Here is a 15,898-nt window from a genome sequence, read left to right as displayed (position 1 = left end):
CTGCAGCCCATGGCTGACTGATATGAGGAGCAAAATGCTGGTCCCCTTGCCTCAAGGTGGGACCTAATGTGTAGTGCCACTTATGTTTCAGGGCTCCATGTGGGATCAGGCTGAGGCTGGACTCCAGCTGAGACCACATCTTTTGTTTAGTTGCCCCACCTCCCAGTGCCCTCTGCTGCCTCCCTGAGTCTGTTTGTCCTGTGAGCACTCTCTTCACAAATCCCTTGGGCAAATGCCTGGCTCAGGTTCTGCTTCTAAGATCCCTAGCAGTTTGGGAGGCCAAGGCAGGACAAATGCTTGAGCCCAGGAGTTAGAGACCAGTCTGGGAAACATAATGAAATCTCATCTCTACAAAAATTTAAAAAATGAGGTGGGAGGATCACTTGAGCCCACAAGGTCAAGGCTGCAATGAGCCATGATTGCAGCACTGCACTCCTGCCTGGGTGATGGAGCAAGACCCTGCCTCAAACAAAACAAAACAAAACAAAACAAAACAAAACAAAACAAAACAAAACAAAAACCAAACCAAAACCCAGATCCTAAACATGGGACTGTGGAGTTGGAGCACCTACTGGCTTAAAGGCAATGAAGAACCCATCACTGGTGGTAGGTGGAATATGGATGGGCCCTGGCATGGTGTCTCAGGACAATTGCATGTTCACCTGTAATTTACTTTCACTTGTAATGAACTGGTCTGGACTATGGTGCAAGAGAATGCAATAACTTGTTCGGTGTCTCTGGGTTTTAAACGACATGGGGAAATAACAACTGTGAGAGTTATAAAATTGAGCGGCTGTTGATGAGTTTTCATGAATCACTGAATCCACTGGACAGGGAAAACAATAACTCACATCTATCCATTATAATTTAAAGTCAAATGTGAGAGTCAGGGAGACTCCTTGGGAACATTTTAAAGAGACCCTCATCTTCTGTAGCTGGAAGGCAAACCAAGTGGAAGACCATGTACAGGACTCTGTTGTAAAAGTTACTGAACTTCAAAGAAAGCAAAATTGTCAGCTTTCCCAAGGTCGGTACCCTGATAGGGAGGGAGTGAGAGCTTGAGAATTGGGATGAAGGTATTTGGGTAGATGAGCTTGAGGACCTCAAATCTCCTGATTTTCCTGAACCCTTCAAGCCTGCAGAAACAACCCACTCCCCTTTGTTAGAAGACAGTGGCCTTCCTTTGCTTGAAAATTATGCAGAAACCTCAAATTAGCCTACAAGACAATGCTTTCTCTACTTATAATATTCCCTCCCTTCCCCACCTGGACATCAGACCAATAAGAAGAGTTAAGTCCCAGCGTGGCTTGATCAGGAAAATGCTGGATCTGCTGAAGGAAGAGAGATGATAAACTCTAAAGGGTTTGCAGGACCTGGAATATGGAGACATGCCTCGGGGTAGATCCTGAAGGTGCTGGATCAAGGAGGATAGAAAGCTGGGTAAAAGATAATGAGTCATTATGGGGCATTCTTCCCTTCCTGTTAAATAAGATTCAACATCCTGTTAAGTGCCTCAGGTGCCAGTCCTGATATGCTGCTGGGGTGCTTGGAAAAATGACTCACATTGAGTGAAGTAGGGATGGCAAACTGAAGGATCAAAAAGCTCAGAGTAATGGGAATGATCAAGTGGATCTACTATATATGGTAAGGCAGGATGCGGTGGCTCACGCCTGTAATCCCAGCACTCTGGGAGGCCGAGAGGGGTGGATCACCTGAGGTCAGGAGTTAGAGACCAGCCTGGTTAACATGGTGAACTCATCTCTATTAGAAATATAAAAATTAGCTGGGTATAGTGGTGCACCTGCATTCTCAGCTACTCTGGAGGCTGAGGCAGGAGAATTGCTTGAATCTAGGAGGTGGAGGTTGCAGTGAGCCCAGACTGTGCCGCTGCACTCCAGCCTGGGTGACAGAGCAAGACTCCATCTCAAAAAAGAAAAAAGAAAAAAGCCATCTGCTGACGAGACTCACTGGGAAGGCCTGGTAGGCACTCCTTTTACCAAGGCTGTAAGGAATGTGTCCATGAGGGAGGCACCAGCATCACTGGGAAGCTATGTAGTGGCTGTGCTCTGAGGGTGGTGCTGGTAGAGATGCTGCAACAGAACTGGTATCCTAGTAGCCATGAGAATGATGGGATCGTGGAGTAGCAGAAGCCAGGTGGCAACACTTACCCATCAGGCAAGTAGGGCATTGTTACTGTCACGGGCAGCAAGTCAGAATGGCAGTCAGGGCAGCCTTATCTTCTGGGATCCATGGAGATGGCTAATGGAGCATGGAATTCCTGGGAAGGATAGATAAGTTGCTAACAGGCTGTTACTTAATATGTATAGTCAAAGAAGATCAGGAATGGATGAGCAGAAGGATGAAGTCAGGTATCCCCAAGGAAAGCCGTGATCCCTTACCCAGTTTCTATAATTGAACCAGTTCTCAAACTTAGAACCCATTGACCAAGGGGGAGGACAGAGTCCCCATGAGAAAGGACCTTGTAACACCATGGCAGTGTGTACTCTTAATGGACTCTCGATTGTTGATTCTTTGACCTGTGGAGTAAGCAATTGTAGTAGGAAAGGCCTAGTGGAAGTGTGTACAGTAGTTGTTCCCCTAGTTCTTCCCAAAAGATTTATGACCACTTATTCAGGGTCCTGTATACTGGTGTGTGGTAGGCAGAATAATGGACTGCCAAGGATGTCCATTCCCTGATCCCTGGATCCTGTATGCTATGATTTGAATGGCCCTGCCAAAACTCATGTTGATCTTTAATTGCCAATGTGATGGTATTGGGAAGCGGAGATTTTAAGAGGTGATTAAGTCATGAGAGCTCTGCCTTCATGAATGGATTAATGCCATTATTGAGGAGTTGGGTTAATTATTGTGGCAGTGGGCTCCTGATAAAGGGATAAATTGGACCCCTATATATTTGCTGTCTCATGCTTGGGCTTCTGCCTTCCTCCTCTCCACTATGAGAGGATTCTTGCCAGATGCTGGTGCCATGCTTTTGGACTTTCCAGCTTCTAGAACTGTGAGCCAAAGAAACTTATTTTCTTTAAAAATTATCCAGTCTTGGCCGGGTGTGGTGGCTAATGCCTGTAATCCCAGCACTTTGGGAGGCCGAGGCAGGCAGATCACGAGGTCAGGAGATTGAGACCATCCTGGCTAACACTGTGAAACCCCATCTCTACTAAAAATACAAAAAAATTAGCTGGGCGTGGTGGTGGGTGCCTGTAGTCCCAGATACTTGGGAGGCTGAGGCAGGAGAATGGCGTGAACCCGGGAGGCGGAGCTTGCAGTGAGCTGAGATCGTGCCACTGCACTCCAGCCTGGGCGACAGAGCGAGACTCCATCTCAAAAAAAAAAAAAAAAAAAAAAAATTACCCAGTCTTTAATACTCTGTTATGGCAACATGAAATAAACTATAACACTCTCAATATATTACATATAGAAAAAGAGACATGGTAGCTATAATTAAGATTACAGATTTTAAGATAGAAAGATGATCCTGGATAATCCAAGTGGGTTTGAACTAATCACAGGAACCTTGAAAAGTAGAGTACTTTCTCCAGATGGAGGCAGGAGAGAAGGCAGAAGGGACGTCAGAGAGATTCAAAGCTGAGAGGGACTCAAACTGTCCTTGCTAGAGGGGGCTACATCAAGGCATGAGAAAAAAATGTGAGCAGCTTCTACGATTGAAGACTAACATCCAGCAAGGTAATGAGACCTCAGTCCTGCAACTACAAGGAACCAAATTCAGCCATCAACCTGAATAAGCTTGGTGGCAGATTCATCCCCAGAGCCTTCAGAAAGGGATCCAGGCCAACACCTTGATTTCAGCCTTGTGAGACTCTAAGCAGAGGACCCATTGGGTCATGCTATAACCAGACTTCTGATTTACAGGACTGTGAGATAATAAGTGGGTACCATTCTAAGCCACCAAGTTTGTGGTAATTTGTTTTGGCAGCAACAGAAAATTAATACAGGGATGTTGAGGACTGTTGGACATAGGGTATGGGTTGATGCTAATATCCAAAGAGCCAAAGCACCGTCGTGGCTCCTGTTAGAGTGGTGGCACATGAAGGCCAACTAATATGATACATGGAGCCCTACACTAGGTTCATCTCCTGCAGTTTGTCTGGGAAATTGACCCATGTGATATTCTACAGACTAGCTATTGGTCATTCTTGTTTCCAAATGCACAGTTAGAATAGACATACTTAATTGTTGGTATGACTTTTAATTGTTGGTTCTTTGACCTAAGAAGTAACAGCTATTGTAGTAGGAAAGGCCCAGTGGAAGTCCTTGAGACTACTCCCTTCCAGCCGCAGCCAAGATAGTAAATAAAAAACAATATTACATCCTGGAGGAAAAATGGAGATGAGCTTCACCCTCAAGGATTTCTATGATACACAGGTTTGGTCCCATTGCTTCTTTTTATTTATTTATTTTATTTTTTATTTATTTTTATTTTATTTTATTTTATTTTTTTAGTATTTATTGATCATTCTTGGGTGTTTCTCGGAGAGGGGGATTTGGCAGGGTCATAGGACAATAGTGGAGGGAAGGTCAGCAGATAAACATGTGAACAAGGGTCTCTGGTTTTCCTAGGCAGAGGACCCTGCGGCCTTCCGCAGTGTTTGTGTCCCTGGGTACTTGAGATTAGGGAGTGGTGATGACTCTTAAAGAGCATGCTGCCTTCAAGCATCTGTTTAACAAAGCACATCTTGCACCGCCCTTAATCCATTTAACCCTGAGTGGACACAGCACATGTTTCAGAGAGCACGGGGTTGGGGGTAAGGTTATAGATTAACAGCATCCCAAGGCAGAAGAATTTCTCTTAGTACAGAACAAAATGGAGTCTCCCATGTCTACTTCTTTCTACACAGACACAGTAACAATCTGATCTCTCTTTCTTTTCCCCACATTTCCCCCTTTAATATTCGACAAAGCGCCATCGTCATCATGGCCTGTTCTCAATGAGCTGTTGGGTACACCTCCCAGACGGGGTGGCGGCCGGGCAGAGGGGCTCCTCACTTCCCAGACGGGGCAGCTGGGCCGAGGCGCCCCCCACCTCCCAGACGGGGCAATGGCTGGGCGGGGGCTGCCCCCCACCTCCCTCCCGGATGGGGCGGCTGGCCGGGGTGGGGGCTGCCCCCCAACTCCCTCCCGGACGGGGCGGCTGGCCGCCCATTGCTTCTTTTTAAATTAATCAACCCCTGCAAAAACCAGGCAGATCATGGCGGATGACAGTGGACTATCTCAAATGCAATCAAGTAGCAGCCGTGATCTCACTGCTATGCTAGTAGCAGTATCTTTTCCAGAGCAGAGCAGCACAGCCTCTGATGTGAGATGTACAGCTACTGATCTAGTGAATGTGTCCTTTTCAATACCTGTCAAGAATGAGCATCAGAAGCAGTCTTCATTTACATGGGACAAATAACAGATAAATTCATGGTCTTTCCTCAGGGCCATGTTAATTCTCCAGTTCTTTGCTCAATATAGTCTGAAGGGACCTGGATCCCCTAGAAAGTCTGCAGGACATCACATTGCTCCACCACCTTAGTGACATCGTGTTAATTAGACCTGATGAGCAGAAAGTGCTGAGTCATCCTACGTGTGCTATAAAGTATTAGAACACATTCCTTCCATCTAGCTGTAGTTTTGTATCCTTTAACAAATCTTTCCTTTTCTGCCCCTGTCCCCTTACTCTGCCCTGCCTCTAGTATCCTCTGTTCTACTTTTTACTTCTATGAGATTAACTCTTTTTAGGTTTCACATATAAGTGAGAACCTGCATTTCACTTAACATAATGCCTTCCGGTTCCATCCATGTTGCTGCAAATGACTGTAGTTAACAGAAATATATTACATAGTTTCAGGGCCAGGCGTGGTGGCTTATGACTGTAATCCCAGTGCCTTGGGAGGCTGAGGCAGGGGGATCTCTTGAGGCCAGGAGTTTGAGACCAGCCTGAGCAACATAGCAAGACTCTGTCTCTACAAAAAAATTAAATTACCTGAGTGTGGGTGGTACATGCCTGTAGACCCAGCTACTTGGTAGCCTGAGGTGGAAGGATCACTTGAGCTCAGCAGTACAAGTTTACAGTGAGCTATGATCATGCCACTTCTGTCTAGCCTGGGTGACAGAGAAAGACCTGTCCCTAATAGTAATAATAATAATAATAATAATAATAATAAGTATATAGTTTCAAATAGCTAGAAGGAGGATACTGAATATTCCAACACAAAGAAATGATAAATGTCTGAGGTGATGATATTTCTAAGTATCCTGATTTAATCACTATATTTTTATTTTTTTGAGACAGGGTCTTACTTTGTTGCCTACGCTGGAGTGCCCTGGAGTGATCACAGCTGAAGTGCAGTGGCATGATCACAGCTCACTGCAGCTTTGATCTCCCAGACTCAAGTGATCCTCCCATCTCAGTCTCTCAAGTAGCTGGGACTACAAGTGCATGTCACCATGCATGGCCATTTTTTTTTTTTTTTAATTTTTAGTAGAGAAAAAGTGTTGCTATGTTGCTCAGGCTGGTCTTGAACTCCTGAACGTAAGCAGTCCTCCTGCTTCAGCCTCCCAAAGTGCTGAGATTACAGGCATGAGCCATGGTGCTTGGCCCACTATACTTTATATGTATCACAACATCACTATGTACCTCATAGGTATATATAATTATTGTGGGCCAATTAAGAAAATCAAATTTAAAAAGATTAAAATACAAAAAAGGAATGGGAAGTACCCTGAATGCCTTGGTAAGTCAAATTTCGTCCAGAAGATAGGAGAGAAAACCTATTAAGATTCAGAAGCTTGCCATGTTAGTGAAGTTTTCAAGGGTCCAATGATCTGCCAGCACATCCCCTGTTAAGGTAAGGACAAGTTATTGCACTTTGCACCTTCCACCAAATAAAAAGAAGCACAATGCTTGGTGGGCCTTTTTGGGTTTTGAAGACAGAATACTTTGCACTTGAAAATACTTCTCCAACACTTTTATCGAATGACAGGGAAGGCTGCTAGTTTTTGAGTTCAGCCAAGAGCAGAAAAGGGCTCTGGAGCAGATCCAAGCTGCTGTACAAGCAGCCCTATTGCTTGAGCATATGACTTAGCAAACATCATGGAACTAGGGGGATTTTTGGTAGAGAAGGATGCTGGGGTTTTGGTATATGGCCATGCTATCTATAGTTGGTGGAATTGTGTCTCAAAAAGATGTGTTGAAGTCCTAACTCCTGGTACCTATGAATGTGACCTTATATGGAAATAATGTCTTTGCAGATGTAATCAAGTTAAAATAAGGTCATCCTGTATTAGGGTGCACCCTAAATAGGATGACTTGTGTCCTTATAAGGAGAGGGAGATCTGGAGGCATACTTACTCACAGGGAGAGAATGCCATATGAAGACAGAGGCGGAGACTGGAGCAATGTGTCTAGAAGACAAGAAACACCAAGAATTGCCAGCAACACCAGAAGCTGGGAGAGAGGCATGGGATGGTTTCTCCCTGAGAGCCTCAGAAGGAACCAACCCTGTGAACACCTTGACTTTGGACTTCTGGCCTCCAGAACTGTGAGGAATAAGTTTTCTGTTGTTTTAAGCCACCCAGTTGGTGATAATTTGTTATGGCAGCTCTGGGAAACAAACACACCATCTAAAGCACCCAACAGTATATACCATCTGAAAAGCAGCTCTGGGCTTGCTACTGGGCTCTGGTGACAACCGAGTGTCTGATTGTGTGATATCAAGTAACCATGTAGTTGGAAGCTGCTAGTCTCATCAAGAGCTGGGCACTGTGAGGCCTATAAAGGCATAAGGTCAGGTGGGCCCAGCAGCAGTTTGTTGTAAATTGGAGGTGGTATCTATTGGACTGGGCTCAAGCAGGTCCAGGGAACACAAGCACCCAGGGCCACTCTCTTGACTCTCACTTATGACACATGGAGGGGTTTCCAGCTGGTGGAAGAGGAATAAGCTTGCTTGACCCAGTCTGTGGCTGTAAGCCAAAAATGGACTGTGGCAGCACTACAGGCACACTTGGAGTTGGCCCTGAAGGACTGGTGAGGGGAGATCGTCTCAATCTCTGAGCACCTTCCAAGCCATTCACTTTGTGTAGAGAGAGAAATGGCCCAAGTTAAGGATAAACATTGACACAGTTTGGATATTTGTCCCCACCCAAATCTCATGTTGAAATGTAATCTCCTGGCTGGGCATGGTGGCTCACACTTATAATCCCAGCACTTTGGCATTATATTGCTTTAGCCCAGGAGTTCGAGACCAGCCTGGGCAACATGGTGAAACTTCATCTCTACAAAAAATACAAAAATTAGCAGGGCATGATGGCACATACCTGTAGCCCCAGCTACTCAGGAGGCAGGATAAATTGAGGCTGGGAGGTTGAGGCTGCAGCGAGCCATGATTGTGCCACTGTACTCCAGCCTGGGTGACAGAATGAGACCCTGTCTCAAAAGAAAAGGAAAAGAAAAGAAAAAAGAAAAAGAAATAGAAATATAATCTCCAATGTTGGAGGTGGGGCCTGGTGGAAGGTGTTTGGGTCATGGGGTGGATTCCTCATGAATGGCTTGTGCCACCCCCTTAATGGTAAGTGAGCTCTCACTCTGAGTTCGTATGAGATCTGGTTGTGTAAAAGTGTGTGGCACCTCCCTGCCTCCTGCTCCTGCTTTTGCCATGTGATATGCCTGCTCCTGCTTCACCTTGCACCATGAGTGAAAGCTCTTTGAGGGTTCACCAGAAGCTGAGCAGATGCTGTTGCCTTTCTTTAAAGACTGTGGAACTGTGAGTCAATGGAAAATCTTTTCTTAATAAATTACCCAGTCTCAGGTCTCTCTCTCCCTCCCTCCCTTCCTTCCTCCCTTCCTTCCTTCCTTCCTTCCTTCCTTCCTTCCTTCCTTCCTTCCTTCCTTCCTTCCTTCCTTTCTCTCTCTCTTTCTTTCTCCTTCCTTCCTTCCTTTCTCTCTCTTTCTTTCTCTTTCTTTCTTTCTTTCTTTCTTTCTTTCTTTCTTTCTTTCTTTCTTTCTTTCTTTCCTTTCTTCCTTCCTTCCTTCCTTCCTTCCTTCCTTCCTTTCTTTCTTTCTTTCTTTCTTTCTTTCTTTCTTTCTTTCTTTCTTTCTTTCTTTCTTTCTTTCTTTCTCTTTCTTGCTTTCTTGCTTTCTTGCTTTCTTGCTTTCTTGCTTTCTTGCTTTTCTTTCTTTCAAGTTTTGCTCTTGTTGCCCAGGCTGGAGTGCAATGGTGTGATCTTGGCTCACTGCAACCTCTGCCTCCTGGGTTCAAGCGATTCTCCTGCCTCAGCCTCCTGAGTATCTGGGATTACAGGTGCGTGCTACCACGGCTGACTAATTTTTGCATTTTTAGTAGAGACGAGGTTTCACCATGTTGGCCAGGCTGGTCTCGAACTCCTGACCAAAGGTAATCTGCACGCCTTGGTGCCCCAAACTGTTGGGATTACAGGTGTGAGCTACCATGCCCGGCCAGGTATTTCTTTATAGCAATGCAGGAATAGCCTAATACAGACATGAACTTCTGGAAAGTGGTGAATGATTTGGCTGATTGCTCAAGGGCCTGGAGAAATATTGGAAGATGAGGTAAAGAGTTTGGGGATAAGGTATGCAGATAGAGATATGAGACTGGCTACAAAGCGTAGATTCCTTATTCTGTATCTTTTTTTTTTTTTTTTGAGATGGAGTCTCACTCTGTTGCCCAGGATGGAGTGCAGTGGCACGATCTTGGCTCACTGCAACTTCTGTTTCCTGGGTTCAAGCAATTATCCTGCCTCAGCCTCCCGAGTAGCTGGGATTACAAAGGCCTGCCACCATGCCTGGCTAATTTTTGTATTTTTAGTAGAGACAGAGTTTTGCCATGTTGGCCAGGCTGGTCTTGAGCTCCTGATCTCAGGTGATCTGCCCACCTCAGCCTTCCAAAGTGCTGGAATTACAAGCATGAGCCACCATGCCCTGGCCTTATTTCGTATTTTGATGCCAACCAGAAGACATCTATTGTGAAAAAAGCACTAAAAAAATCATATGGACAGGATGACTTAGCCAGTAGGTGTCAGCTATTCTCTCTCTGTGGCCAACCCAGGGTTTGCACCACGGAGTAGCCGTGGTGGCAGAGATGGAGATGATGCATGGGACAAACACCATGATCTGTCTTACCAAGGCTGATCCAGGTACTGCTGTTGCTCAATCACTAATCTTCTCACAACAGAGAGAATGCTGTCTCCCACATGATATAATCCCTGGAGGAAACCATCCGCACCTGATGTGGACATGATAGAGTGAAAAATTGACTGTATTAGATTTTTACACTGTGGACATCTTGATTGGGATTGACGTGTATTCCAGGTGTGTGTTTGCCTTTCCTGCTCTCAGGGCCTCAGCCAACACTGCTGTTTAAGGATTCATATGTATGTGCCATCATGTGATACTGTAGAATCCTACTTTGTGCCAAGTGATGCAGCAGTGGGCACATGACCATAAGATCCACTGGTCTTACCGTATTCTGCATTATCCAGAGGCGGGTACATCTGTTAGAGCAGTGGAATGGCCCACTGAACGCATAGCTGATCTGTTAGCTTAGAGATGACACCCTGCAAGTTTGGCACACTAGCCTTATGGATGCAGAATATTCTGTAAATCAATGGCCATTATATCTTGCTGTGTCATTAAGAGGTAGAATATTGGGTTCGAGAGCCAAGAAATGAAAATTGGCATTGATTCGCTCTCCATACCTCCTAGTGATGAGCTTGGAGGATTTGTGTGGTGTCATCAGGCTCTGTGAACCTCAAGATTATAATTTCCAGCGGGGGCAATTTCCACCAGAGGACACAATAAAAGCAAACATAAATCTATGCCTGCCATCTGGGCACTTTGAGAAGACCATAAGGCAAAGAAAATAGTCACCATCCTGGCACAGGGCATTGGCCCTTCTTATCATGATGAGACTGGGCTGCAGCTACACCATGAGAACAGAGAGAGATATTATTGGTTCTCAGGTGCTTCACCGGGGCATTACTTTGTACCCCCATGACTAACTGTCACTGAAAATGGGCAGTTAGCAACCACTGCCTGATAAGAGCATTGTAACCAGGGGCTCAGACCCTCCAGGATGAGGGTGTGTATCACTCCATCTGACCAGCCTTTTAGTCCAGCAGAAGTGCTAACTGATGGAGAGGGTGATCTAGAATGAGTCGTGGAGGAGGGAGATGGTGAGTATTAGTGATAGCCTCGAGACCACCTGCAGCCGTGGAAGCTCTAGTTTATCCCACTAATCTTCTTGTCAAAATTTCTTCCAAATGGTGACCAGTCAGAGTCCTAGAGAGAAGCTACAGCTGCATGGAATGAACTTAATGTGAGAAGCGATGGATCGGAGCAGTTTAAGGCGTAGACTGTAATAGACGCTGTTGGTGTCCCTCCCAGATCCCTTTAATGGGCTGGTGGACCCGTGTTCCAGGTGCTGTGAGTGCTGACTGCATGCCTCATGGATACCTCGCCTCATTCTCTGGTGAGTCAGCTTTAGCCCTCTATTACCTGGCAGCAGCACAGAGCCAGTAACTGACACAGAGGAACAAAATCCAGATTCCTGGCCTCTAGGTGTTGTCATCTCTATGATGTAATTTATGCTCCACAGATCCTTCTGGGTCCAGGCTAAGGCTATTCTCTAGCTGGCCATACCCTTGCTTAGAGTTTACCCTCTTCCCTGCTTTGCCCCCATTATCTCTTTCCTCCTGTGAGTACTCACTCAAAACATCACTTGCAGGAGCATTGCACCAAAAACACAAAAATCTGGGGATTACCAAAAATTTGAAATGTCATGATCAGCTAATTCTTTAATACTATCAAGTAATTTCTTAGCTCACTAATTTCTTAAAATCATCAAATATCTACTGTTAAAATTTCTCCCAATGATTTAATTTTTATTTAAAAAATTTTAAAATGTATTTATTTTATTTACAACTCTTAAGTTCAGGGGTACATGTGCAGGATGTGCAGGTCTGTTACATAGGTAAACATGTGCCATGGCGGTTTGCTGCACAGATCATCCCAAAACTATGGTTTGCTTGTTTGGATCCATATTAGTTTTCCATTGCTGCTGTAACAAATCACTATAAACTTGGTGGCTTAAGCAATACAAATTTATGATCTTATAGTTCTGGAAGTTGAACACGGATATCTCTGAGCAGAAGTCAAGGCATCATTAGAGCCATGTGCCTTTCTGGAGGCTCTGTAGGAGAACCTGCCTGTTTGTGTTTTCCACCTTCTTAGAGGTTGTTCACATCCTGTGGCTTGTGGCTCCCTTCCTCCACCATCTAAACCAGTTACATCGCTCCTCTCTGATCCTTCTTTTATAGTCACATTGCTTTCTGATTACAGCCAGAAAGGATTCTCCACTTTTACAGACTCATTAAATTAGACTGACCCTTCCTGAAAAACTTGGAGTAATCTTCCCATCTCAAGATCCCTAACCTTAACCTCGTGTGCGAAGTCTCTTTTGCCATAACCTGTATTCACAGGTTCTAGGGATGAGGAGATGAACATCTTTGCAGGCCATTATTCTGCCCACCACAGGATCCAAATAAAGTTCATATGTTTCACTTGGTTAATATGCCTAAGTCTTTTTAAATCTGTAGATCCCCTTCCTTTCTAACTCTCTCTCTCTCTTGCTTTTTTCAGAGACAGGGTCTCACACTCTGTCACCCAGGCTGGAGTGCAGTGGTGTGATCATAGCTCACTGCAGCCTTGAACTCCTGGGCCCAAGCAATCCTTCCACCTCAGCCTCCTGAGTTGCTGGGAATACAGGCTCACACCACCCTGTCTGGTGTTTTTATTTGTTGTAGAGATGGGGGTCTCACTATGTTGCCCAGGCTGGTCTTGAACTCCCGGCCTCAAGCTATCCTTCCACCTCAGCCTCCCAGAGCACTGGGTTTACAGGAATGAATCACTGTACCTGTCCCCTTCCTTTATAACCCTTTTGGTCTTTGCAATTTATTGTGGAAGAACTGTTATTTTCTCTAGAAGATTCCTCCAGTCTATATTTTGCTATAGTCTCATGGTTTCTTTAAGGTGTTCTTTTCTTGGTTTTCCTTGAAAATTGGTAGTTGGATCTAGAGGGTTTATCAGACTTATGTTCATTTCTTTTTGTAAGACATAGCAGGTAGTGTGCTTTTTGTGATATTAGCAGCTATTGATGCTCAATGCCTAAATCTATTAATTTTGTAGGGTTTGTAAAAGGGTGATACTCTTTCTATAATTCCATATTTATTTATTACCTATAATACATCTATAATGTATTATCAAATATTTGGGTAGCCTGAGGTACAGTTCTTTGAGGAAAGGCAGAATAAATGCATGCTCCTTTCCCTTTATTTACTAATTTTCACAATAGTTTGTTCACTAGTATCCTCCACCCATGATCGGTGAATTTCCTTTCGATTATCATAATGAAGTCAAGGATTTAAGCATCTCGATTCCAAACCCAGATCTTCTATATTCTAGTTATAGAACAACGGTGCCCAAATTTTTGCTCACCAAGAATCCTGTTGTTTTATCCCCAGGACTCCTTAATTGAAAATATCTTGCTCACTAAATCCACTGCATAAAATAGGAATTAATTAGTTGCCCAAATTTTAATAAGTTAAAGATAATCATGAGTCAAATAAGGTTCTGATTGCAATAGTCCTAATGTAATTCTTCTAGAGTCTACTAGAATGCCAGAATACCAGCCAAAATAAAAGATTCTTTAGTCAATCTGGTCTTACCCCCTGTAGTTAGCCTTTCTATATTGAGAATAGCTTGAATACCCTTGCCCCCATAATGGACTCCAAGAATCCGTTGTTTTGAAACCATTGACTTAACAACCAACAAGCTAGTAGTTATTGAGTCCTTCCTATGGGGTAAGCAATGTTCTAAGTACTTCAATGTATGGCATATTTAATTCTCAGAACCACCTTAAGAGGTAGCCACTATTATTATCTTCATTTTGTGGATGAGAAAATTGAGTGACAAGAAAAGTTTAGTGGCTTGCCCAAGGTCACACAGCTGGTGAATGATGGAGCTGGGAGTGGCAACCCTGGGCCCATACTCCCACATGGCGATGATTAGCTGATGCTGAGTGGTGGCTTCCTTCCTTAGGCCAAGCATATACCCCTCGGGTCACGATAGCATCCACCTGTCCGTCTTCATTCATTGACATTACTGGCCTAGCCTCTGCAGGCATTTGGGTTTGAGATCTCTGGCATGCCTCACCAACGCTTTACACATCTTGTGATTCTAGGAAGCTTTAATTGGGTTTGTAATAAGAATGGATGCCTCATCTTAACCTGTCCAGGGAATAGAGTTTTATTTGTCCTGGATCTCACGCTGGGCTGGATTTATAAATGCAGAATCCCAGCACCAAATTTAGCAGAGTGAATTATTTGGTTTCCCAAATGTAGGCCACAGTATCTAATTGGAGCTGTAATGCAGTAACTGTGTGGGCAATTACCCAGCGAGGTGATGGGTGATGGACATGTTCAAGATGGAATCTGGGAGCACTGTATCAAATAATTTCCTTTTCTCTTTCTTTTTCCACAAGAAACAATTTTCTTCCCTGTTGTCCATCTTGGTGGTTTCAGGTCTCCTTTTGGACCTTGGAGACAACATTGAAGGTATGGCTCAAAGACCAGCCAGCCAGCAAGACATTATGGAACTCAAGTCCCGTACCACAGTTGCTTGCTACGTGAGGCTGGGTTACCTCTTGAGGCTACGTGAGGCTGGGTTACCTCTTGGAGCTCTCTGGGTCTGTTATTTTAGTAACATGAAGACCTAGAAACATTTTCCTTGTCAAAGACCTTTGGTTCTATGAGGTAAGTGGGATGGTGTGGGGGTGGTGCTCTGGGAATAGGCAGATTTTGTTTCCATGCAAGATATGGTAACTGCCTTTATTTGAGTACTTACTGTATACCATATATATGCAAAGCATTTTGCAGACATTATCTCATTCAGAACACACAGTGCAACAACATATACAAACTGAGCCTCAGAGCAGCAAAGTGATTTGTCCTTTACTCCACAGCCAGCAAGTGGCAGAGCTGCAAAACCCATTGAAGAAGATTCACTGGGAGGTGAAGACTTCCCACTGGGAGGCTGGACAATGACTTGGCAGGGAGTTGGTCAGTTAAGTCCACTCTCATTCTAATGATCTGTGAACTCAAAGTCCTGTGATATTGGAAGCAAGGGTTTTTTGTGTACTTCTCCACTTTATTTCCAGCCTTCTGCTTATGAAACATGGGACACAGTATTATCAAGCTCTTGGCTATTTTGAACAAAAGTGAATTGGTAAGAATATCTCATGGGACCAAATGTAGCTGAATGACAGTCCCTAGGAATGAAAGGACTTTGGCACCCTGGGGAACCAGGTGGCTGTGGAAACCAGTGGTTTCGGGGCTTGGTGACAATGATTGGTCAGCTCCACCTATTTCTAGTCTGTCTTTGCTGTGCTTAAGATTTCACTCCTAGGAGAGAGCTGAGTGGTTCAGATTGAATCAAGGGAAGAAGGAGCATTTTGATGGACAGCCCCAAAGAAATGCATTCAATGGGAGTGAGTAGGCAGGAACAAGTCTCCAAATAAAAATGAAGTTGTTGGTAGCAAATGAAGGGAAAAGGATGTCAGGCAGGCAACACTCAGCAGTGGTCCATTTAGAGGACTTCTTAGGGAAGGACGGATGCCACGAGTCTGGGCAGCTCTTTTAGGAGTTGGGATAAGGGTTGCTGGTTCTCCCCGTCTGTAGAAGGATTGCATTAGAGTACATCGATTCTAAATCCCTCTCTGTCCCACTACCCACTCTTGCCATGCAAGGCCCTCTGGGTCTTTCAGTGTATATCAGCGCCCAAACAAGGAATGCTGGGTTTTTTAGACTT

General features: G+C 44.5%; 1 annotated feature.

Annotated features, from left to right (window-relative positions):
* Positions 6,744 to 7,943: an enhancer, noted in NCBI's record as "P300/CBP strongly-dependent group 1 enhancer chr12:108811567-108812766 (GRCh37/hg19 assembly coordinates)". NCBI's record gives its function as "activates an origin of replication core promoter dependent on BRD2, BRD4, P300/CBP, MED14 and CDK7 cofactors, with strong dependence on P300/CBP, by STARR-seq in HCT116 cells {active_cell/tissue: HCT116}" and the evidence as "EXISTENCE:reporter gene assay evidence [ECO:0000049][PMID:35650434]".

The sequence above is a fragment of the Homo sapiens genome, chromosome 12 (genome assembly GCF_000001405.40).
Source record: "Homo sapiens chromosome 12, GRCh38.p14 Primary Assembly".
In the NCBI taxonomy this organism is placed as follows: domain Eukaryota; kingdom Metazoa; phylum Chordata; class Mammalia; order Primates; family Hominidae; genus Homo; species Homo sapiens.
This window is presented reverse-complemented; position numbering and strand designations above follow the sequence as displayed.